At 54.2% G+C, this 23,823-nt stretch overlaps 3 protein-coding genes and 1 pseudogene across 10 annotated transcripts, besides 4 other annotated features; all 4 read left to right on the forward strand.

Annotated features, from left to right (window-relative positions):
* Positions 1,706-2,510, forward strand: RPS27AP19 (RPS27A pseudogene 19; annotated as a pseudogene). Its single transcript, XR_007067117.1, has 2 exons — positions 1,706-1,973; positions 2,282-2,510. The product of XR_007067117.1 is annotated as an RPS27A pseudogene 19 (transcript).
* RETN (resistin) lies at positions 5,076-6,482 on the forward strand. 5 transcript variants are annotated; one of them, NM_001385725.1, is made up of 4 exons: positions 5,076-5,148; positions 5,300-5,471; positions 5,848-5,925; positions 6,246-6,482. In NM_001385725.1, exons 2-4 carry the CDS (start codon positions 5,354-5,356, stop codon positions 6,374-6,376), a joined length of 327 nt encoding a protein of 108 aa, NP_001372654.1. In that variant the 5' UTR covers positions 5,076-5,148; positions 5,300-5,353; the 3' UTR covers positions 6,377-6,482. The 5 variants fall into 5 exon arrangements, with proteins under 5 accessions (NP_001372654.1, NP_001372655.1, NP_065148.1 ...); NM_001385726.1 differs by having other exon boundaries at positions 5,344-5,471; positions 6,204-6,482; NM_020415.4 differs by having other exon boundaries at positions 5,344-5,471.
* On the forward strand, positions 13,117-15,856 carry MCEMP1 (mast cell expressed membrane protein 1). Its single transcript, NM_174918.3, has 7 exons — positions 13,117-13,202; positions 13,664-13,753; positions 14,131-14,268; positions 14,377-14,427; positions 14,518-14,631; positions 14,951-15,010; positions 15,125-15,856. Exons 1-7 carry the CDS (start codon positions 13,148-13,150, stop codon positions 15,139-15,141), a joined length of 525 nt encoding a protein of 174 aa, NP_777578.3. The 5' UTR covers positions 13,117-13,147; the 3' UTR covers positions 15,142-15,856.
* Positions 14,084-14,153: an enhancer, noted in NCBI's record as "active region_13892". NCBI's record gives its function as "activates an Ori minimal core promoter by ATAC-STARR-seq in GM12878 lymphoblastoid cells {active_cell/tissue: GM12878}" and the evidence as "EXISTENCE:reporter gene assay evidence [ECO:0000049][PMID:35858748]".
* Positions 16,565-17,124: a silencer, noted in NCBI's record as "silent region_9990". NCBI's record gives its function as "represses an Ori minimal core promoter by ATAC-STARR-seq in GM12878 lymphoblastoid cells {active_cell/tissue: GM12878}" and the evidence as "EXISTENCE:reporter gene assay evidence [ECO:0000049][PMID:35858748]".
* TRAPPC5 (trafficking protein particle complex subunit 5) lies at positions 16,860-23,730 on the forward strand. 3 transcript variants are annotated; one of them, NM_174894.3, is made up of 2 exons: positions 16,860-17,076; positions 18,269-23,730. In NM_174894.3, the coding sequence occupies exon 2, from the start codon at positions 18,281-18,283 to the stop codon at positions 18,845-18,847; it is 567 nt and encodes a 188-aa protein (NP_777554.1). In that variant the 5' UTR covers positions 16,860-17,076; positions 18,269-18,280; the 3' UTR covers positions 18,848-23,730. The 3 variants fall into 3 exon arrangements, with proteins under 3 accessions (NP_777554.1, NP_001035926.1, NP_001035927.1); NM_001042461.3 differs by having other exon boundaries at positions 16,860-17,053; NM_001042462.2 differs by having other exon boundaries at positions 16,860-16,905.
* Positions 18,090-18,384: a silencer, noted in NCBI's record as "tiled region #435; HepG2 Repressive non-DNase unmatched - State 4:PromP". NCBI's record gives its function as "represses a minimal TATA promoter and a strong SV40 promoter by Sharpr-MPRA in HepG2 cells {active_cell/tissue: HepG2}" and the evidence as "EXISTENCE:reporter gene assay evidence [ECO:0000049][PMID:27701403]".
* Positions 20,936-21,118: a silencer, noted in NCBI's record as "fragment chr19:7749795-7749977 (GRCh37/hg19 assembly coordinates)". NCBI's record gives its function as "represses an EF-1alpha promoter that drives an FKBP-Casp9 reporter gene in an ReSE screen in K562 erythroleukemia cells {active_cell/tissue: K562}" and the evidence as "EXISTENCE:reporter gene assay evidence [ECO:0000049][PMID:32094911]".

Consider the following 23,823-nt stretch of genomic DNA (forward strand, 5'->3'; position numbering starts at 1 on the left):
CTGAGCTCTGCCATGGACATGTGATAGCAGTCACTGATGATATATTAAAAAATGGGGCCAGGTGCAGTGGCTCATGCCTATAGTCTCAGCACTCTGGGAGGCCAAGGCGGGCGGATCACTTGAGATCAGGAGATCGAAGCCAGCCTGGCTAACATGGCGAAATCCCATCTCTACTAAAAATACAAAAATTAGCCGGACATGGTGGCGCACCTGCCTATAATCCCAGCTACTCGGGAGGCTGAGGCAGGAGAATCGCTTTAACCCGGGAGGCAGAGGTTGCGGTGAGCCAAGGTCGTGCCACTGCACTCCAGCCTGGGTGACAAGAGCGAGTCTCCCTCTCAAAAAAAAGGGGGTAGCAAACTGTGTGTGTGTGTTTGTAGGGACAGGATCTCACTATGTTGCTCAGGCTGCCCTCAAACTCCTGGGCTCAAACAATCCTCCTGCTTTGGTCTCTCAAGTAGCTAGGATGACAGGTGCCTGCCACTGAGCTTGGCAATTTTTTTTTTTTTTGAGACAGAGTTTCGCTCTTGTTGCCCAGGCTGGAGTGCAAGGGCACCATCTTGACTCACTGCAACCTCCACCTCCCGGGTTCAAGCAATTCTCCTGCCTCGGCCTCTCAAGTAGCTGGGATTACAGTCGCGTGCCACCACACCCGGCTAATTTTGTATTGTAAGTAGTGATGGGGTTTCACCACATTGGCCAGGCTGGTCTTGAACTCCTGACCTCAGGTGATCCACCCGCCTTAGCCTCCCAAAGTGCTGTGATTACAGGCATGAGCCACCGCACCCAGCTGACAATGTTTTAAGAAAATTTTCTTTATGGACTTTTTATGAAAATTATATGAATTTGAATTTTATATGATTTCTATTTTCACTAAACATTACAAATATTTTTTGGCTAGGCACAGTGGCTCATGCCTGTAATCTCAGTGCTTTGGGAAGCTAAGGTGGCAGGATCTTTTGAGGCCAGGAGTTTGAGACCAGCCTGGGCAATAGAGTGAGACCCCACCTCTACAAAAAAATTAAAAAAATTAGTTAGGTGTGGTGACACATGCCGTAGTCCCACCTACTCAAGAGGCTGATGAGGGGGGGATTGCTTGAGCCCAGGAGTTTGAGGCTGCAGTGAGCTATGATTGCACCATTGCACTCCAGCGTGGAAAACAGAGCCAGACTGTGTCTTTTTTAAAAAAAAAACAACTTTTTTTTCCCTATGGTTTAAAAATGTGAAAATTGGCAGTGCCTCAAAAAGTTAAACATAGAATTACCATATGATCAGGCAGCACTACTCCTGGACATACGCCCAGAAGAATTGAAAGCAGGAGCTGCAAACAGATATTTGCACATCTATGTTCAGAGCAGCATTATTCACAATAGCCAAAAGGCAGAAGCAGGCCAGGCACAGTGGCTCACACCTGTAATCCCAGGACTTTGGGAGGCCGAGGCAGGCGGATCACTCCAGATCAGGAGTTTGAGACCAGCCTGGCCAACATGGCAAAACCCCATCTCTACTAAAAATACAAAAGAAAAAAAAATTAGCCAGGTGTGGTGGTGGCACATGCCTGTAATCCTGGCTACTCGGAGGCCGAGGCAGGATAATCACTTAAACCCAGGAGTCAGAGGTTGCAGTGAGCCAAGATCGTGCCACTTGCACTCCAGCCTGGGTGACAAGAGCGAAACTCTGTCTCAAAAAAACAAAAAACAAAAACCTTTTAGATCCGCCATCTGTGGTGGAGCCGCCACCAAAATGTAGATTTTCCTGAAAACCCTTACAGGGAAGACCACCACCCTCGAGGCTGAACCCTCAGATATGGTAGAAAATGTAAAGGCCAAGATCCAGGGTAAAGAAAGAATTCCTCCTGATCAGCAAAGACAAGCACTGGAAGATGGGCGTACTCTGTCTGACTACAACATTCAAAAGGAGTCTCCTCTTCATCTTGTATTGAGAATTCGTGGTGGTGCTAAGGAAAGGAAGAAGTCTTTTTTTTATTTTTTTTGAGATGGAGTCTCGCTCTGTAGCTCAGGCTGGAGTGCAGTGGTGCAATCTCGGCTCACTGCAACCTCTGCCTCCCGGGTCCCAGTTCAAGCAATTCTCCTGCCTCAGCCTCCCGAGTAGCTGGGATTACAGGCACGTGCCACCACGCCCAGCTAATTTTTGTATTTTTAGTAGAGACAGGATTTCACCATGTTGGCCAGGCTGGTCTTGAACTCCTGACCTCGTGATCCACCTGCCTCGGCCTCCCAAAGTGCTGGGATTACAGGCCTGAGCCACTGAGCCCGGCCAGAAGAAGAAGTCTTACCTGCAAGACGAATAAGCACAAGAGAAAGAAGGTGAAGCTGGCTGTCCTGAAATATTATAAGGTGGATGAGAATGGCAAAATTAGTCACCTTCGTCGAGGTTGCCCTTCTGATGAATGTGGTGCTGCAGTGTTTATGGCAAGCCACTTTGACAGACATTATTGTGGCAAATGTTGTCTGACTTACTGCTTCAACAAACCAGAAGACAAATAACTGTATGAATTAACAAAAGACGGCCAGGCGCAGTGGCTTACACCTGTAATCCCAGCACTTTGGGAGGCCGAGACGGGCGGATCACAAGGTCAGGAGATCGAGACCATCCTGGCTAACATGGTGAAACCCCGTCTCTACTAAAAATACAAAAAAATTAGCTGGGCATGGTGGCGGGCGCCTATAGTCCCAGCTACTCGGGAGGCTGAGGCAGGAGAATGGAGTGAACCCGGGAGGCGGAGCTTGCAGTGAGCCGAGATCGTGCCACTGCACTCCAGCCAGGGCAACAGAGTGAGACTCCATCTCAAAAAAGAAAGAAAACCCACAAAAGACGTGAACTAACAAAAACAAACAAACAAACAAAAAAACAAAACAAAAGCTGGAAGCAACCCAAGTGTCCATCGATGGATGAAGGAATAAACACAACGTGGTTCATCCACACAAGGGAATGTGATACAGCCATGGAAAGGAAAACAGTTCTGACTCAGGCTACAGCAGGGATGAACCTTGGGGATATTATGCTCAGTGAAATAAGCAGATACAAAAGGACAAACACTGTGTGATTCCACTCCTAGGAGGTCCCTAGAGTCATCAGATCCATAGAGGCAGAAAGCAAGATGGAGGGTGCCAGGGGCTGGGGAGAGGGATAGGGAGTGAGTGTTTCATGGGGACAGAGTTTCAGTTTGGAAAGAGGAGAAAGTTCTGGAGATGGACGGCAGTGGTGGCTACATAACAACATGAATGTGCTTATTGCCACAGAATTGTGCTCTGAAAAATGGTTAAAATAGGCTGGGCATGGTGGCTCACACCTGTAATCCCGGCACTTTGGGAGGCTGAGGCGGGTGGATCACTTGAGGTCAGGAATTTGAGACCAGCCTGGCCAACATGGTGAAACCCCATCTCTACTAAAAATACAAAAAATTAGCCGGGCATGGTGGTGCACGCCTGTAATCCCAGCTACTCGGGAGGCTGAGGCAGGAGAATTGCTTGAACCCAGGAGGTGGAGGTTGCAGTGAGCCAAGATTGAGCCACTGTACTCCAGCCTGAGCAACTGAGTGAGACTCTGAAACAAAGAAACAAACAAAAGCAATGGTTAAAATGGAACAAGATGGTGCATACCTGTAGCTTCAGCTACTGGGGAGTCCAAGGTGGGAGGATTACTTGAAGCCAGGAGTCTGACACTAGCTTGGGCAACATAGCAAGACCCCGTCTCAAAAAAAAAAAAAAAAAGGCCGGGCACGGTGGTTCACGCCTGTAATCCCAGCACTTTGGGAGGCCAAGGCGGGCAGATCACAAGGTCAGGGGATCGAGACCATCCTGGCTAACACGGTGAAACTCCATCTCTACTAAAAAAAAAAAAATACAAAAAATTAGCTGGGCGTGGTGGCAGGCGCCTGTAGTCCCAGCTACTTGGGAGGCTGAAGCAGGAGAATGGCGTGAACCCAGGAGGCGGAGCTTGTAGTGAGCCGAGATCGCGCCACTGCACTCCAGCCTGGGCGACAGAGCAAGATTCCGTCTCAAAAAAGAAAAAAGTAAGTTATAATGGTAAGTTGTATGTTATATGTATTTTACCACAAAAAGGCCCGTTGTACTGGAAACAAAGAACAAATAAAAATGTAATAACCATTCCAAGCTCATGGGTGGTCCAAGAAGAAACATGAGCTGGACCTTGGCCCATGAGCAATGGCTTTCCAACTTCTGTTGCAGGTGATGCCATTGATGGAATAAACCATGATTTTTCTTTCTTCTTTTTGAGATGGAGTCTTGCTATGGTGCCCAAGCTAGTCATCCAGGATGGAGTGCAGGGGCACGATCTCAGTGCACTGCAACCTCCACATCCCGGGTTCAAGTGATTCTCCCACCTCAGCCTCCCAAGTAGCTGGGATTACAGGCACACGCCACCACGCCCAGTTAATTTTTGTATGTCTAATGGAGACAGGGTTTCATCATGTTGGCCAGGTTGGTCTCAAGCTCCTGACCTCAAGTGATCCGCCCGCCTTGGCCTCCCAAAGTGCTGGGATTACAGGCGTGAGCCACCGGCCATAAACCATGATTTTATTTACCAGTTCTATTGCTCATGGGCATTTGGGTATGAATGTGGTATGTCATTCTCACCCAGAGACATAATTATTATTACTATTTTAGAGAAGTGGTCTTGCTCTGTTGCCCAGACTGGAGTGCAGTGCTGTGATCATAAGTCACTGTAGCTTCGAACTCCCGGGCTCAAGCAATTCTCTCACGTCAGCCTCCTTAGTAGCTGGGACTACAAGTGCTTGTCCGCACCATGCCTAGCAAGAGGCATTAATTTTGTCATGTTTGCATCAGCCACCCTTGCATGCAAAACTCTGCTTGTCTACCTGTTCCTCAGACCACAGCCCCTGGCATTATCCCTGGGGCACCACCTCCTGACCAGTCTCTGGACATGAAGACGGAGGCCCTGTTGGAAGTGGGAAGGCTCCCTTCCTCCTCCAGCCCTTACTGTCTGCTCAGGGGCTTCCTCTTGGCCCCGGATGTGGGACCGGAGGGTTGGGGGCCCAGGGACTTATTAGCCAAGCCAGGAAGCCCCACCCCAAGAGGCCTCAAAGAAAGAGCTGCGGTGCAGGAATTCGTGTGCCGGATTTGGTTAGCTGAGCCCACCGAGAGGGTAAGTGACAGCTGCTCCTGCGCTTGCCATGGCACCAGCGGGGAGGCTGGGGTCAAGGCTGAGCCTCCATCCCTGTCCCCCACATGGGGGGACAGGGGTCCAGGTCCAGGGGCAGATCCTACTCCCTCCATGGGCCGGATCTTCCCCACAGGGCAGGGCTGATCCAGCTGTGGGTCTCTTGGTTCCCTCTTTCAGCGCCTGCAGGATGAAAGCTCTCTGTCTCCTCCTCCTCCCTGTCCTGGGGCTGTTGGTGTCTAGCAAGACCCTGTGCTCCATGGAAGAAGCCATCAATGAGAGGATCCAGGAGGTCGCCGGCTCCCTAAGTGAGGACCCCCCACTTGGGCAAGCTCCCCAAGGGTCTCAGAGACCTCACTGATCCCTGGCACAGACCTGACTCCAACCCAGCCCCAGCGCTCACCAAATCTCATCCTCAAATCCAACCAGATCATAAATTCAACCCCAACTCCACTCCCAACCCCTCCGACTGTCCCCACCTTATCCACGGCTCCAAACCCAATCCCCGCTCTCACTCCAAACCTTCCCTTACTCCAAAACACCCAACTCAAGACAGGGTCCTGGAGGCCAGTGAGCTCCTATGCCCACAGGGACCTAGCTCCAAACCAACAGGGCTAGGGGAGGATGGGGGAGGGACCGTTTGGTCTCACAGCTCCCCCTGTCTCCTTTCCTCCTGCCCCCCAGTATTTAGGGCAATAAGCAGCATTGGCCTGGAGTGCCAGAGCGTCACCTCCAGGGGGGACCTGGCTACTTGCCCCCGAGGTGAGTGCAGGAGACTGTTGTCCAGGCGCCCATTTCTGTTCCAAGTCCCCTGGGAATGCCCCCTCCCCGCCACGTTCCCCGTGTCCAGCCTCTACTCCCCTAGGATCTTGGTCCTGACTCCCAGCCTTCTCCGCCCACCATCTGGACACTGGTGTCCACCCTCACTCCCTGCCTCCAGTGCCCATTCAGTGGTTGGAGCCTCCAGCCGTCCCCGTCCCCACCCCCGCCCCCCCAACCCCCCTCCGCGCTCCCCACCCCCCTCCCGCTCCCACCCTCAGCCTCCCAGCTCAGAGTCCACGCTCCTGTGTTCCGGGCTGCAGGCTTCGCCGTCACCGGCTGCACTTGTGGCTCCGCCTGTGGCTCGTGGGATGTGCGCGCCGAGACCACATGTCACTGCCAGTGCGCGGGCATGGACTGGACCGGAGCGCGCTGCTGTCGTGTGCAGCCCTGAGGTCGCGCGCAGCGCGTGCACAGCGCGGGCGGAGGCGGCTCCAGGTCCGGAGGGGTTGCGGGGGAGCTGGAAATAAACCTGGAGATGATGATGATGATGATGATGATGATGATGGAGCGGATCTGAGCCCTGCGTGGTTTCTTTAGTAGGCCCGGAGGGACTGATCTAGCGTCTCCAAGAGAGTGGGGCGCGTAGCTGCTGGAGGGGGCGGGGACACCGCGACTTTCTACTGCCCCATCGCCCTTCCTCCTATGGGGTCTCCAACTGCTTCCTCCGAAAATAGGGCCTGAACTTCCTCTAGTGACGTCCCCACCCAAGGCTCATGGCTGCCTTCAAGAGGTGACGTCTCATCTTTGAGGCTACCTTGACGCTCACCCTGGGGTCTCCGACCTCCCCAGGAAGTGGCTGGGTCCTTTTCCCCCAGTCCTCATAATGAGGCTTCATCGAGGACCTGGGTCAGTCTGGGCAGTGGACGGGACCCTCCAGGGCCCCAAGACTCCAGGAGCCCCAGGTCAGGGTGGAACCCTGAATCATGTCTCAGCCCAGAGCTGGAACCTGTACCCCTCACTTCCTACCTGCAAGGAGGAATCCCCAAGGCACAGGCAAAGTTGGGTTACGGAGAGTCAGGGACGCCTACCTGACGTCACGCATCATCACAAGCTCACGTTTTCACACAGGCAAGTGCAGTTGTGAGTAGTTAGTTACAACCAGATACACGCAGGGTGCTTACCCCTTCCTGGATACTAGATTATGAAAACACAGAGCAGGGGACTTGTCTGCTCCTAGATCCCCCCCAGGGTTTCGTTTCTTCCCTTCCCTTCCCCTCCCCTCCCCTCCCCTCCCCTCCCCTCCCCTCCTCTCCCCTCTTCTCTTTTCTTTCTTTCTTTCTTTTTTTTTTTTTGAGACAGGGTCTCGCTCTGTTGCCCAGGCTGGAGTGCAGTGGTGCAATCTCGGCTCACCGCAACCTCTGCCTCCTGGGTTCAAGCGATTCTCCTGCCTCAGCCTCCCACGTAGCTGGGACTACAGGCGCTCGCCACCATACCTGGCTAATTTTTGTATTTTTAGTAGAGAAGGAGTTTCACCATGTTGGCTAGGTTGGTCTTGAGCTCCTGGCCTCAAGCGATTCACCCGCCTCAGCCTCCCAAAGTGCTGGGATTACATGCATGAGCCACCGCGCCTGGCCTATTTTTTAATTTTTATTTTCGAGACAAGGTCTTACTCTGGCGCCCAGGCTGGAGTGCAGTGGCACAATCTCGGCTCACTGCAACCTCTGCCTCCTGGGTTCAAGTGATATTCCTGCCTTAGCCTCTCAAGTAGCTGAGATTACAGGTGCCCACCACCATGCCCAGCTAATTTGTATTTTTAGTAGAGAGCGGGTTTCACCATGTTGGCCAGGCTAGTCTCAAACTCCTGACCTCAGGTGATCCACCCACCTCGGCCTTCCAAAGTGCTGGGATTACAGGCATGAGCCACTGCACCCAGCGCCCCCAGGGTTTAGAATAGAGCATGGAACACAGTAGACGTTCAGTAAATGTCTGTTGATCAGTAGCCACATGTGCACTTAGATACAGCACCGACGTGCACATACTGCACATGCACACACAGCTATACACAGCCACGTGCACACACAGAGTACACAACCCACCTACCACGGCCACATGGAGACACCACATCCACAGACACACCCATGTGCCCCTAGACACTCTTGGACACAGAAAGGCACCACCCCCCCGGCCAATGCACGGAGAATCGCAGATTTGACTATGGTGGGCAGAGATGATGCAGGACACAAACACACACATGCTCCAGGCAGACTCTTGCATTTCTGACTCTAGTCCCCACTGCACCTGGATAAGTATCTGATACCCTAGTGCAGCGATCCCCAACCTTTTTGGCACCAGAGACTGTTTTCATGGAAGACAGTTGGTGTGTGTATGGGGTAGGGGGGGAGCGGGGATGGTTTCTGGGTGATTCAAGCGCATTACATTTATTATTCACTTTATTTTTATTATTATGACATTGTAATATAGAATAAAATAATTCTACAACTCACCATAATGTGGAATCGGTGGGAGCCCTGAGCTTGTGTTCCTGCAACTAGATGGTCCCAGCTGAGGGTGATGGGAGACAGCGACAGATTACCAGGCATTTGATTCTTATAAGAAGTGAGAAAGCTACATCCCTCAAATGCGCAGTTCACGATGGGATTCTTGCTCCTATGAGAATCTAATGCTGCTGCTGGTCTGACAGGAGGTGGAGCTCAGGTGGTAATGCGAATGATGGGGAGTGGCTGTAAATACAGATGAAGCTTCTCTCGCTCGCCCACCACTCACCTCCTGCTGTGAGGCCCCGTTCCCAATGCCCGGTGGCTGGGGACCCCTGTTCTAGTGGGCAAAAGCCTCAGCATCCCCCGCCTCAGCTCCCTGGGGCACAAATTCAGGTGATTCGGGGTCCAGTTCTACAGGAAGCCTGACCCAGGAGTCTTGCCATCCAGTCCCTGATTTCCCACCACAGACTTCAGAATTCCTAGCACCTAGTCTTGAAAGGGATCCCAGACTCAAATGTCACACCTGGACAACAGATGATAGAGTGAGGTTCTGGTTTGCAGGATGTTTTGGACTCTCCTCCCACTGCCACCCACCCCCTGTGATGGTCCCAGCCCCCTGTCTGATGCTGGTGGCCATGAGCAGAGATTACAACCACTTCTGGTGCCAGGGACCCCACCCAGACTCCAGCCCAGGGATTCCCTTCCCAGACCCTCTCTCCTGACTCCACAGTGGTCATGGGGGTAGGGCAGGACCACTGAGTTAGAAGCATGGCCAGGGCCAGAGAGGGTGAGTCTAGTGCCTTGTGTGTGTCCCTGCCCCTTACTGCTGTGTGTGTGTGTTGGGGGCGGGGATGCTCCATTGTCCCCAGAACTATTTGTCTCCACCCCCATCCAATAGTCCTGTATCTGAAACCTAAGAGGGCTCTCTTCAGGTTCCTCAATTCCAACATAGACATTCTCCTGCCCCAGAGTGCAGACTTGGAGGTCATATCTGCCCAGGTGATGTGGACAGGCAAACCCCCTATTAGAGCCTCAATTTCCTCAATAGCTAATGCCTAGATCCCCTGTGGTAGGCAAGATATCCTCCTCCCTCCTCCCTCCTCCCTCCCTCCTTCCTCCTCCTCATCCTTCTCCTCCTCCTCCTTCTTCTTCTTCCTTTTTGAGATGGAGTCTCACTCTGTTGTCCAGGCTGGAGTGCAGTGGCACGATCTCAGCTCACTGCAACCTCCACCTCCAGGTTCAAGTGATTCTCCTGCTTCAGCCTCCTGAGTAGTTGGGATTGCAGGCGCCCACCACCACTCCTGGCTAATTTTTGTATTTTTAGTAGACACGGGGATTTCGCCATTTTGGCCAGGCTGGTCTCAAATTCCTGACCTTAAGTGATTCACCTGCCTCGGCCTTCCAAAGTGCTGGGATTACAGGCGTGGGCCACAGAGACCAGCCAAGGCAAGATTCTTCTGCTTGCAAGTACAACAGACCCCACTTCAAACTAGCTTGGGCAAAACTAAAAGGAAGTTTCTTGTTTGTGTAACTGACAAGCCCAGGGTTAGAACAACAGGTTCAGGTATGGCTTGGAACCAGGGTCTCAAATGATGTCTCCAGGACCCAGACTTCCTCTCGGGTCTGATTTTCTCAGCACTGCCTTTGCTCTCAAGTAAATTCTTCCCTGTCACAGCTCCCATTACATCCTCCCATTGTGGCAGCCCTAGTGAGGGCTGGAAAAAAAAGAGAATGCTTTTTCCCCCGTGGTTAAACCAATAAAAATCCCAGACCAGCGTTTCATTGGCTGGATCTTGCTCAAATGCCCGCCTCTCTGCCCAATCTTAGACTCTGGTTGGCTGGGTCTGGATCATTTGTCCACTGTAAACCAATCCCTAGCTTATGGTTTGCTGGATCTAGCACACATTTTCTTTCTTAAAAGAAAATTGAGAATGTTACCCTATGAAAGGGACGGGTGCTGGTCAGGCAGCTTTGCAGATGTTTCCCACATGACATGATTGCTTGTGGGCCTCTGGTTTAGCGTGACCTTTTTCTCAAAGGAAGTCCAGAGCCTGGAGCCGCGTCTCAGCCCCACCCAAGCCCGGGAAATGTGCAACGCTGTGGCTCCACCCCCTGTGCCTGTCCATCAAGGCAGAGCCCACATCCAATTGGTCCGTCTGCTCCATTAGAAGGCGGTCCTATAGCTCAGTAACTGACTTCTTTCTAAGACCAAATGGAGCAGCTGGCATGAAGTCATTATCAAATTGATCTTTCTTGGAGACACAGGATTTGGCAATATTTTAGGAAACAGAACTTTATCCTCACCAGATCTCGACGCTCATTTCTCAACATTCAAGTTGTCTGAAATTTAACCACATATTTTTAACCAAAACATCATCACTTTCTGCACATAAGACAGTCTTATACTTGTTTTTTCTTCTTTTCTTCTTCCTTCCTTCCTTCTTTCTTCTTTCTTCTTTTTTCTTTTTTTTTTTTTTTTTTTGACGGAGTTTTGCTCTTGTTGCCCAGGCTGGAGTGCAATGGCGCGATCTCGGCTCACTGCAACCTCCACCTCCCGGGTTCAAGTGATTCTCCTGTCTCAGCCTCCCGAGTGGCTGAGATTACAGGCGCCTGCCACCACGCCCAGTTAATTTTTGCATTTTTAGTAGAGACAGGGTTTTATCATATTGGTCAGGCTGGTGTCTCTAACTCCTGACCTCAGGTGATCCGCCCGCCTCAGACTCCCAAAGTGCTGTGATTACAGGCGTGAGCCACCACACCTGGCCAGAAAAAAATAAAAATAAAAATGTATGCCTGTAATCCCAGCACTTTGGGAGACCAAGGCTGGAGGATCAGTTGAACCCAGGAGATCAAGACCAGCCTGGACGGCATATTGAGACCCTCATCTCTACAAAAAATAAGAAAAATTAGACTGGGCCACGGTGGCTGATGCTTGTAATCCCAGCACTTTGGGAGGCCAAGGCGGGTAGATCACGTGAAGTCAGGAGTTCGAGACCAGCCTGACCAACATGGGGAAACCCCGTCTCTACTAAAAATACAAAATTAGCCGGGGGTGGTGGTGCATGCCTGTAATCCCAGCTACTTGGGAGGCTGAGGCAGGAGAATGACTTGAACCTGGGATGCGGAGGTTGCAGTGAGCTGAGATAGCGTCATTGCACTCCAGCCTGGGTGACAAGCACAAAACTCCATCTCAAAAAAGGAGAAAAATTAGCCAGGTGAAGTCGTGCCCACCTGTAATTTCAGCTACTCGGGAAGCCGAGGACGAAGGATTACTTGAGCCAGGGAGGTCAAAGCTGCAGTGAGCCATGATCACGCTGCTGCACCCCGGCCTGGGCAACAGAGTGAAACCCTGTCTCAAAAAAAAATTATTAAAAAACATTTAAAGAGACAGGGTCTTGCTATGTTGCTCACGCTGGTCTCAAACTCCTGGCCTCAAATGATCCTCCTACCTCAGCCTCCTGGGTAGCTGGGACTACAGAGCGAGCCACCATACCCAGCTACTTTGTGCCTTTTGTAACCCCAGTTTTCAAGATCAGATAAACACAAAGTGAACTAAGACACCTTCTAGACAGAGTGCGGGCATGTGAACGCATGCTTGTGTCTATTTTTCTGAGTGTCACAATGCAAATAGTATGCAAATGAGTTTGTGATGTGTGTCCGTGTGCAGACCTGTGTGTGTACATGTGTGAGAGAGAGTATCTGGGTAGATAAGCAGATGGATGGATGAGAATGAGAAACCTGGAGTTTCCAGGTGCAGAGGAAACTGTTCCTCCAGGGTTCTTTTTTGAGACAGAGTTTCCCTCTTGTCACCCATTCTGGAGTGCAATGGTGTGATCTCCGCTCACTGCAGCCTCCGCCTCCCAGGTTTAAGCGATTCTCCTGCCTCAGCCTCCTGAGTAGCTAGGATTACAGGCGCTCGCCACCACGCCCAGCTAATTTTTGTATTTTTAGTAGAGACGGGGTTTCACCATGTTAGCCAGGCTGGTTTCAAACTCCTGACCTCAGATGATCCACCCACCTCAGCCTCCCAGAGTGCTGGGATTACAGGCGTGAGCCACCGCACCCAGCCTCCTCCAGGGTTGTATAAAAGCAGGGGATTTGGGGAGGGAGGGAAGGATGTGGGTCTGTCCTCAGTCCCAGATGTGGGTGTGGCGTTCCAGTGGTTAGTTCCCGTTGCCTCACATCTGTGCTTTTCCTCCACGGGGACTTGTAGAAGTAGAAGAACTTCTTGGGGGTGGAGCTGAGGGGTGGAGCTGAGGCTGGAGGGAGGAAGGTGTGGGGGGACCCAGGGGTCCTGTCTCCAAGCCTGGTTGCTCTTACGCGAAAAGTTGGGACACTGAGGTGTCACAGCTTCTCTTTTGAAATGGAGAGGAGGTAGGAGGGTGAGGTCCATCCAGGTAGACACAGACACACACAGAGACCACAGCTTCCTGTAACATTTCCGAGTGTCGAATTCCATCTCCCGGTCTAGAGGTTTTTCTTCTTGGTCCTTCCTGAGACCTCTTGGCTCCCAAGAGCCTCTTGATCGGGGCAGGAATGAGGGTGCCCCAGGGTGCGAGAGTCGTGGATCCCTGAAAAGAGGAGGCTGCTCCCCCTCTTTCTTCCCCCCACCTCCAGATTTCCTCATCTGCCCACACCTTCCGGTGGGCGGGGACGTGTATGGACAAATTTGCGGGCTGGGGACCATGGAAGTGGAGGAAATCTACAAGCACCAGGAAGTCAAGATGCAAGCACCAGCCTTCAGGGACAAGAAACAGGGGGTCTCAGCCAAGAATCAAGGTTAGGGAACTCGAGGTGGAAGGGAGGGGTTAAGAAGGAGAGATTGGGGGGCCGGGGGCTTTTGCTCATGTCTGTAATCCTAGCACTTTGGGAGGCTGAGGCGGGAGGATTGCGTGAGCCCTGGAGGTGGAGACTGGCCTGGGCAACATAGGGAGACTCTGTCTGTAAAAAATAAAAATAAAAAAAGAAGGAGAGTTCAGATGGGAGAGGTAAGGGGTCAAAGGTGGGGGCCGGGGGCTCCTTCCCCTCCAAGATGTGTGGATGTGTGTGTGGATGTGTGTGTGGTGTGATCACTCAAACTCTCACACACCCGCTCCACTTAACCAAAAAGCAGATTTTAGCTTCTCACTCCTTATCTTTCACCCCCTACAATTTATTGAGTGCAAAGGGTTGGGTAAAACAAGATCCCGGATCCACTCTCCACACCACAGAGCTCTGAGCAGATCTCCAACCCCTCCCAGGTGCCCATGACCCAGACTATGAGAATATCACCTTGGCCTTCAAAAATCAGGACCATGCAAAGGGTGGTCATTCACGACCCACGAGCCAAGGTGAGCAGACACCCACCTGCTCACATCCCATCACCTTGGGAAGGGGCAGGTGGGCGGGCAACTGCAGGGCCCCCGGGGCTGCGTGGAAGGGAGGAAGCGATGGGGAAGGAAGAGGTGACAGCTGTTGACGTGCTAATGAGGTCTGTTGATGATGACAATGTTGGGGAATGCTGGAGAGGGGGTCTGTGATGGTGACGGTGTTAGATCGCTGAGGGTGGCTGGTGGTGGCAGTGTTGTTGACGATGATGACAAGCTGCATGACCACAGCTGCTGATGGTTTTGAGAGGAGCGAGGTGTCCATGGTGTTAGAGACAGTGAGGATGGTTTGAGTGGTGGTGCTGGCCCCTCAAGGTCACTTTGCTGCCTCTTTGCTCCAGTCCCAGCCCAGTGCAGGCCGCCCTCAGACTCCACCCAGGTCCCCTGCTGGTTGTACAGAGCCATCCTGAGCCTGTACATCCTCCTGGCCCTGGCCTTTGTCCTCTGCATCATCCTGTCAGCCTTCATCATGGTGAAGAGTGAGTACTTCTTGGGAGGAGGGTGCTGGGGGGCCTAGACTTTCTCCCTTGTCCTTCTCTCTCTCTCTCCCTGGGTGCTTCAAGGATTTTCCTGCCCCTCCTGAACAGATGCTGAGATGTCCAAGGAGCTGCTGGGCTTTAAAAGGGAGCTTTGGAATGGTGAGCGGAGGGTCTGAGGGAGACCCGTGGGGTCATGGTGGGGGTCTGGAGAGGGATGGATGCACAGACACCCCTGTTTCATGCCCTCAGTCTCAAACTCCGTACAAGCATGCGAAGAGAGACAGAAGAGAGGCTGGGATTCCGTTCAGCAGAGCATCACCATGGTCAGGAGCAAGATTGATAGATTAGAGACGACATTAGCAGGTGCCTGTGTAGTCTCGCCTTCTATGGGGGTTATTTGTCACCAATGCCCGGAGCTGAGCTGGGGGCAGGGGATTCAGGGGAGGAGAAAGCCGGGGTCCTACCCTCCCAAAGCTCAAGTTGTGGAGGGGCGATGGGTGTTACCATCTGGGTTGCTCTGTGGGTATTGAAAGGCTCCTGGGAACCCCAAATCCATGGGCTCTGCTGTACCCCAGGGTGGGTGTGGGGCAGGGGGGGTGCTTCCAAGGAAGGTGGGGGCTTTGTTTGAGGCTCCACCGCAGCTTGACTTATCTGTTCCCACCCAACCCTCCCCGCCCCCTAGGCATAAAAAACATTGACACAAAGGTACAGAAAATCTTGGAGGTGCTGCAGAAAATGCCACGTAAGTTGGCGCCCCGACAGGAGGTGGAGGAGGGTGGGTGGGGCTTCAGATTTAGCCCCAGCTCCTCTCCCAGGGGCGGGATCTGCCTCACTGTGGGTCTCTCCCCATCCCCAGAGTCCTCACCTCAATAAATGAGAGGACATTGTGGCAGCCAAAGCCACAACTTGGAAGATGGGGCTGCACCTGCCAACGAAGACGGGAAATGACCCCCCCCCCCCAGCCTAGTGTGAACCTGCCCCTCGTCCCACGTATAGAAAAACCTCGAGTCATGGTGAATGAGTGTCTCGGAGTTGCTCGTGTGTGTGTACACCTGCGTGCGTGTGTGTGCGTGTGTGCGCGTGTGTTCGTGTATGTGCGTGTGTGCGTGCGCGTGTGTGTGCATTTTGCAAAGGGTGGACATTTCAGTGTATCTCCCAGAAAGGTGATGAATGAATAGGACTGAGAGTCACAGTGAATGTGGCATGCATGCCTGTGTCATGTGACATATGTGAGTCTCGGCATGTCACGGTGGGTGGCTGTGTCTGAGCACCTCCAGCAGATGTCACTCTGAGTGTGGGTGTTGGTGACATGCATTGCACGGGCCTGTCTCCCTGTTTGTGTAAACATACTAGAGTATACTGCGGCGTGTTTTCTGTCTACCCATGTCATGGTGGGGGAGATTTATCTCCGTACATGTGGGTGTCGCCATGTGTGCCCTGTCACTATCTGTGGCTGGGTGAACGGCTGTGTCATTATGAGTGTGCCGAGTTATGCCACCCTGTGTGCTCAGGGCACATGCACACAGACATTTATCTCTGCACTCACATTTTGTGACTTATGAAGATAAATAAAGTCAAGGGAAAACAGCGTCGCTATGGGACCTGTTACTGGGGCAAGGGGAGGGGTTTTGGGACCTGGGGAGAGGGAGAGTCTGCACGTGACAATGACCCCGGGGCACCAGGGTGGGCGAGACTGAGTGCCCTGCGTGAGTACCTGTGCATCTGTGAATGAGTAACTCATTCCCTGTGTCTTCCCTGTGTCCCAGAGTGGGTGCCCCTGAGCATACAACATCTCCCTGAGTGTACCTGGGACCACGGATATATACAAGCCCTAAGCGTGTACCCACGTGTGTAATTGTGCCCGTGAGTGTATCTATGCCATTGAGCATGTATCCATGAGTGTACATGACCCTAAGGTACTATGTCCACCGCTCATGCATGCACTTGATTTGTTGTTGTTGTTGTTTGTTTTTGTTTTTTTGAGACAGGGTCTCGCTCTATCACCCAGGCTGGAGGGCAGTGGTACGATCATGACTCATTGCAGCCTCGACCTCCTGGGCTCAGGCGATCCTCTTGCCTCCGCCTCCCGAGTAGATGGGATTACAGGTTCACACCACCACACCTGGCTAATTTTTTTTAAAGAAGTGGGAGTCTAGCTATGTTGTCCAGGCTGGTCTCAAACTCCTGGCCTCAAGTGATTCTCCCACCTCCGCCTCCGAAAATGCTGGGGTTACAGGCGGGAGCCACCGCGGGCCACATGGATGCACTTGAGACAATTGAACCCATCCCCAAGGACATAGGAGTGCCTGGAAAAGCCAACAGGTGTGTCCATGTGCAAGGGTATACATTGGCCCATTGTCATACGTGCGCCCTGAGCAGGTGACTAGGCCTGCAAGCGTCCCCTCCAGCGTGGGCCACCCAGAGCCAGCGAGACCCTGGCCACGCGCGGAGCAGCCATCACGGCCGTGGGCCACGTCCCTGGGTCCGGCTCCGCGGACTCGCGCGCCCCCCTGCGGCCGCTCTCAGGCACCGCTGCGCGCGCCCCGCCCACACGCCTGGCCCGTCGAGCGCCTGCGCACGCAGCGCCTTTTACGGCGCCGTAAAGCAGCTCGGCCGAGCAGACTGCTGCGGTTCCTGGTGAGACCCTACCCACCCCCCTGCCCGCGCCGGGCCTCGTCCGCTCCCCGGCCCCTTCCCCGCGGGCGTGTGGGTCCCGGGCTGGGGTCTCGGCGTCCGCGATCCCGAGCCCGCTCGCTTCGGCCCCCCTCAGGAGGCTGCGAGGAGGGTGGGTTTCTCCCCAGTGTAGAGGTACGGGGCGAGGGTCGCGGGGCCCTGACCCTACGGCAGTTCAGCTCACTTCAGCCCCCATCGCAGCCCGGTGGTGGGGTCTTAACGATCCCTCTCCCATCTCGCGCGCCCAGGGCCCTCGCCACGGACGGATCTGCATGCTGGGGCGGGGGCGGCCCGGAGCCCCTGGGACACCCCTCCCCGCTGGTTCTCCCACCTCCCACGCAGACCTCGTTGGGGTCGGCTTAGCATCCACACACCTCCCCATGCATGGTGGGGGCGGGTTCTCAGCTGCCCCTCCGATCCCGTCTCGGCGCCCGCTCCCCACCCCATTTCTCTTCAGGAGCCCCCTACCCCATCTCCCTCTCCCCGCACCGACAGCTGATGGGAGGACCACAGTTGCTCAGCATCCAGCTTCCTTTCTGGAGAGCACGGGGGTGGGAGGCTCCCAACACCTCTGGGCCCCTCCTCCCAGCCTTCAGAACCCAGGCCCATCCGCGTCTCAAAGGACGAAGGGTTCCTGCGTGACACATCGGAGCTGCCTGCCTGAGGGCTTGGGGTTGGGGGTTACCCGCCCCTCCTGCCTGGCCCCACGGATCCCCCCTGTTAAAGCCCCCAACCCTCCTGGCTTTTGGTCTTGACACGCTCCTACCCCACTCCCACCCTCCACCCCCTTTACTCTGGCTTTCCGCAGGGGGCCGGCAGGAAAGTTCCCGAGGGTCGTCTGTGCTGGAGCGCAGGGCGGGGCAGGAGCGACTGCCCATATCCCCTCGTGGTGCCTCATCTTTGTCACCTCCCTGCCCTAGATCTGACGCCCCTCCCCCCATACACTAGTTTTCTAGTTACTCCTGTAGGTGGCGGAGCGGGCAGGAAGGCGCTTTCGCAATTGAACCGTCTGCATGCCCGAGGGTTGGGTGGTTTCGGCCTCCTCTTCTGTTCCCCCTCGTGTCTCTCCTCCCACCTTGTCCCCACTCCCGCTAGCCCGCTGCCTGCCGAGGGTATAAGACTCCCCCCTCCCTTGATTTATCTGGTTACGTGTAATCGAGGCGTGTTTTACGCGCATCTCTTTGCAAGTGGGAAGTCGGCACTGGAGCACACAACAGTGGCATGGGTCGAGGGTGTCCCAGGGCCCCTCGCGGTTCTCCCTCCTTTCCTCCCGGCCTGCTCCCCTTCCCATTGCCCCTGACACCTGCACTTCCTGGTCTCCCCGCAGGGTGGCGGCGGCATGGAGGCGCGCTTCACGCGCGGGAAGTCGGCGCTGCTGGAGCGCGCGCTGGCGCGGCCGCGCACCGAGGTGAGCCTGAGCGCCTTCGCACTGCTGTTCTCCGAGCTGGTACAGCACTGCCAGAGCCGCGTCTTCTCCGTGGCCGAGCTGCAGTCGCGCCTGGCCGCGCTGGGCCGCCAGGTGGGCGCGCGCGTGCTGGATGCGCTGGTGGCGCGCGAAAAGGGTGCCCGGCGTGAGACCAAGGTGCTAGGCGCGTTGCTCTTCGTCAAGGGCGCCGTGTGGAAGGCGCTCTTCGGCAAGGAGGCGGACAAGCTGGAGCAGGCCAACGATGACGCGCGCACCTTCTACATCATCGAGCGCGAGCCGCTCATCAACACCTACATCTCCGTGCCCAAGGAGAACAGCACGCTCAACTGCGCCAGCTTCACGGCGGGCATCGTGGAGGCGGTGCTCACACACAGCGGCTTCCCTGCCAAGGTCACGGCGCACTGGCACAAGGGCACCACGCTCATGATCAAGTTCGAGGAGGCAGTCATCGCTCGAGACCGGGCCCTGGAGGGCCGCTGACCCTGCCGGAGATAAAGGATACAGAGAGCCCCTCCCCACGTGTGTCTTGTGTCTTGTGTGGCGGCCTTAGATCCACTCAGTACCTTGAGCCACAGCCCTGCCCCAGGCTGGGGAGGGAGGCCAGGTCCGAATGTGTTTACAGTAGAGTGGGGGCGGGTCTGGCCATAGGGTTGGGGGGTTGAGTGAGACCAGGAGTGGTGGGGAGAAATAAACCCGGCAAAAGGAGTTGGTGGGAAATGCTGGCAGGTTCTGGAATCACGGTTGGAGGCTGTCTGCAGGCTGGAGGGGGCATGGGGTCCTGGGAGACGCATCAGGCTGAGACAGACGCCTTTAGACTGGGGGTGGGCAAACTGCGCAAAGTGCCAGATGGGCAATATTTTATGCCATGTGGTCTTTATTATTATTTTTTTTATTTGTTGAGATAGAGTCTTGCTCTGTCGCCCAGGCTGGAGTGCAGTGGCACCATCTCACCTCACTGCAAACCTCCACCTTGGGTTCACGTGATTCTCCTGCCTCAGCTTCCCAAGTAGCTGGGATTACAGGTGCCTCCCACCACACCCGGCTAATTTTTGTATTTTTAGTAGAGATGGGGTTTCACCATGTTGGTCAGGCTGGTCTCGAACTCCTCATCTCAGGTGATCCGCCCACTTCAGCCTCCCAAAGTGCTGGGATTACAGGCGTGAGCCACTGCTGTGCCGCCATGTGCTCTTGCCCCATTACTCCGCTGATGTACTGAATGCAACCACAGACAACATGTAAAGGAGTGGGTGTCACCGTGTGCCTAGAAAACAGGCAGAGGGAGATTGTTTGCCTTCTTCCCTCATTTATTATATTTTTCAGAGACAGGGTTTTGTTCTGTCGCCCAGGCTGGAGTGCAGTGGCAGCATCTCGGCTTCGGCTCACTGCAAGCTCCGCCTCCCGGGTTCATGTCATTCTCCTGCCCCAGCCTCCCGAGTAGCTGGAACTACAGGTGCCCACCACCACACCTGGCTAATTTTTCGTATTTTTAGTAGAGACGGGGTTTCACCATGTTAGCCAGGATGGTCTCGATCTCCTCACCTCGTGATCTGCCCACCTCGGCTTCCCAAAGTGCTGGGATTACAGGCGTGAGCCATGGCGCCCAGCCATGCCCAGCTAATTTTTAAAAAATTTTTGTAGAGATGGGGGCTCTTATTAGGTTGCCCAGGCTGGTCTCAAACTCTTGGCCTCAAGCAATCCTTCCACCTTGGCCTCCGTAAGTGCTGGGGTTACAGGCGTGAGCCAAATCAAAGTGTGTTCTGTAGATCAGCAGTAGCAGCATCAACTGGGAGTTGGTCCATAATGCAGTCTCAGGCCCACCCCAGAGCTGCTGAATCTGAGGGTGCATTTTAGCGAGGCCCCCAGGGGATTCCTGGGGACCTTAGATTGAGATGCAGGCTTTAGGGTATCAGAATCACCAGGAGGGGCCACGTGCGGTGGCTCACGCCTGTAATCCCAGCACTTTGGGAGGCTGAGGCAGGTGGATCACCTGAAGTCAGGAGTTCGAGACCAGCCTGGCTAACATGGCAAAACCCCGTCTCTACTAAAAATAGAAAACATTAGCCGGGTGTGGTGGCACATGCCTGTAATCCCAGCTACTTGGGAGGCTGAGGCAGGAGAATCGCTCCAACCCGGGAGGTGGAGGTTGCAGTGAGCCGAGATTGCACCATTGCACTCCAGCCTGGGCAACAAGAGCGAAACTCCATCTAAAAAACAAAAAGGTCAGGCGCGGTGGCTCACGCCTATAATCCCAGCACTTTGGGAGGCCGAGGCAGGCGGATCACGAGGTCAGGAGTTCGAGCCAGCCTGGCCAATATGGTGAAACCCTGTCTCTACTAAAAATACAAAAATTAGCTGGGCATGGAGGTGCATTCCTGTAGTCCCAGCTACCTAATTTTTTGTATTTTTAGTAGAGATGAGGTTTCACTGTGTTGGCCAGTCTGGTCAATACTTTAAAGTTAATTTTAAAGTCCAGGATGATACAAACACATTTCCCTTGTTAAAAAAATTTTAAAATAAGTGGGGTGCAGTGGTGCACACCTGGAGTCCCAGCTATTCAGGAGGCCGAGGCAGAAGGATCGCTTGAGGCCAGGGGTTGGTGTCCAGCCTGGGCAACATAGTGAGACCTTGTCTAAAAGAATTTGAAATAAGGCCAGGCGTGGCGACTTATGTCTGTAATCCCAGCACTTTGAGAGGCCGAGGTGGGCAGATCACTTGAGGCCGGAAGTTTGAGACCAACCTGGTCAACATGGCAAAACCCATCTTTACTAAAAATACAAAAATTAGCTGGGCGTGGTGGCAGGCACCTGTAATCCCAGCTACTTGGGAGGCTAAGGCAGGAGGATCACTTAAACCTGGGAGGCGGAGGTTGAAGTGAGCCAAGATCACACCACTGGCACTCCAGCCTGAGCAACAGAGTGAGACCCTGTCTTAAAAAAGAAAAAAAAAGTAATGTATTACACCTCAGGCAATTTTCCTTTCCCTTTTTGTTCACCACACTTGGTTCCTGATAACTCCTCCTCTCCCCCAAGGAAAGTTCTTCCAGATTTTTTGGGGGAACCATGATCCAATCTTCCCTGCTTCCTTTCCACCGCCCCCCAGAATGTGAACAGACAGGTCTGTTCAGAAAAGGAACTGCAGGGACTGTCAGCTGGGCTCCCCTCACTGGTTATGAGAAGGGCCAAAGGGGTCGGTGTCACCTCTAGATTTGTTTAGGATGCTCTGTTGGACTGCCTGGTGGACCAGGGCTGAGGGCTTGGTCAGGGCAGTCTCAGCCATCCTAGCAAGAGGCATTGAGCAGGGTGGGCTTCAGCACACTGGGGAGAAGGTGGCGTCTCTAGGATGAATGAAACCATTGAGCAACCACCACACATAGCCCCAGGGCTGATCCTGGAATAGCTGTTGGCTGTTGGAGGTGGAGGGAGGCGCCGGGAGAGGGCTTGGGCAGGATGATAGCCTGAATCTGGAATGAGGGGGAGGCGTCTAGGGGGCCAGCAGATGCACAGGTCTTGGGGTTTGGGGTCTGGAGTTCTGGAGGGAGGTCTGGGCGTCTGCACAGACACAGAAACCACAGTCCTGGATGGGGGACGGAGGGAGGGGAACATGGTGTCTGAGAAGCTGGATTTCAGAGCAAAATGCAGGACGCTTTGGGCTAAGCAGCCCCAGGCAGGTCCTCTGAGACCCTGGCGAGAGGGGCTTCCAGGGCCGGCCAGGGCAGGGGCCATTCTTCTGTCCAGAGGCGGGGCTGTGAGGGATGTCAGAGAAATCGGGAGGGAGGAAGAGGGGCTGCGGGAATTTGTAAGCTGGGAGTGCAGGGCCCAGGGTCTGTTCCCACGCCCCATCCCCACCGGCCACCGAGGGTGAGTTAGGGGGCTTGAGGAGAAGGGAAAACGTTTGAACAAGCTGTAGGGTTATGAGGCTGGGCCCGGGGTTGGGGCAAGGGAGGATGAAGAGAAAGAAGAGCCTGTGGTTCGGCAGCTTCTGATCACAGCAGCTCTAACTTACGGTGCTCTGGGCTGCAAGGAAGGTCTTCCCCTGGACCCTCCAGGTGGGTGGGTGAGAGGAAGAGGAGGAGGAGGAGCCAGGCACCAGCCCTTGGTGAGCTGGGCAAGCAGCATCAGCTCATTTCACAGGCAGGTTCCAAAAGAAGTCATGTGCCCATGGTCACACAGATTAATTATTATTATTATTATTATTTAGAGATGGAGTCTCACTCTGTCGCCCAGGCTGGAGTGCAGTGGTGCGATCTCAGATCTCAGCCTCCTGGGTTCAAGCAATTCTCCTGCTTCAGCCTCCTGAATAGTTGGGACTATAGGCATCCGCCACCACACCCAGCTAATTTTTGTATTTTTAGTGGAGACGGGGTTTCACCATGTTGGCCAGGCTGGTCTGGAACTCCTGACCTCAAGTGATCTGCCCGCCTTGGCCTCCCAAAGTGCTAGGATTACAGGCGTGAGCCACCGCACCTGGCTGGCTTTTTCTCTTTTCTTCTTCTTTTTTTTTGAGACAGGTTCTCACTGTCGCCCAGGCTGAGAGCAGGGGCACAATCCTCCCACCTCGGCCTCCCAAGCAGCTGGGACCAAGTTGCCCATCACTACACCTCTAGTTTTTGTATTTTTTGTAGAGATGGGGCCTCACTATGTTGCCCAGGCTGGCCTCAAACTCCTGAACTCAAGCAGTCCTCCCACCTCAGCCTCCCAAAGCGCTGGGATGACAGGCATGAGCCACTGTGCGCAGCTGGCTTTGGCCTTTTATCTGAGCTGGAGGAAACTTCTGGAAAGGGGGCAGTGAAGAGAGAGCCCCGGGCGGAGGTGACTGCTCCAGTCGAGGCAGTGGCAGAAGGGGTGAGCAGTGAGTGATTGTGAGCGCCGTTTGACAGCAGAGCCCACTGGCATTTCTTATGGTCTTGGACCTGGAGGTGTTGTCAGGGGAAAGGGAAGAGGTGCAATGACCCCAGTGTTGGCCTGAGCCACTGGTAGAGGAGTGTGGAGAGGGGACCCTGTGCTCCTGGCCTCCCTCCCGTGGCCTCCGGCATGGGTCGACCTTGGCCGAGCGTGAGGCTGGTGCCACCTCAGCCTCCCAGACCCTGAGTAGGGTTAACACCTCCAGACCCGAAATGGCCTCCGGTTGACCGGGCCCACTCCCCATCAGCCTGTCCAGCCAGCCAGCACTTACTGAGTGCCTTCTGTGTACTAAGCCCTGCTCTGGGTACTTCCATGAGTCAACTCACGCCCTCCCGGCCTCAGGGTGATCCACCGCCTTCCCCTACAGTATTCCAAGGGGCCATTGGACCTCAGAGGCTTCATGTCCTGCACATTCTCCGTGTCATAGAGCAGGAAAAAATAAAAACGGGAGATCGAATTCTACTTCAGTTGCTCCTCAATTTGTTTCTTTTTTCTTCTTTTTTTTTTTTTTGACATGCAATCTCACTCTGTTACCCAGGCTGGAGTGCAGTAGCA

Source organism: Homo sapiens, chromosome 19, assembly GCF_000001405.40.
Source record: "Homo sapiens chromosome 19, GRCh38.p14 Primary Assembly".
Taxonomy (NCBI): domain Eukaryota; kingdom Metazoa; phylum Chordata; class Mammalia; order Primates; family Hominidae; genus Homo; species Homo sapiens.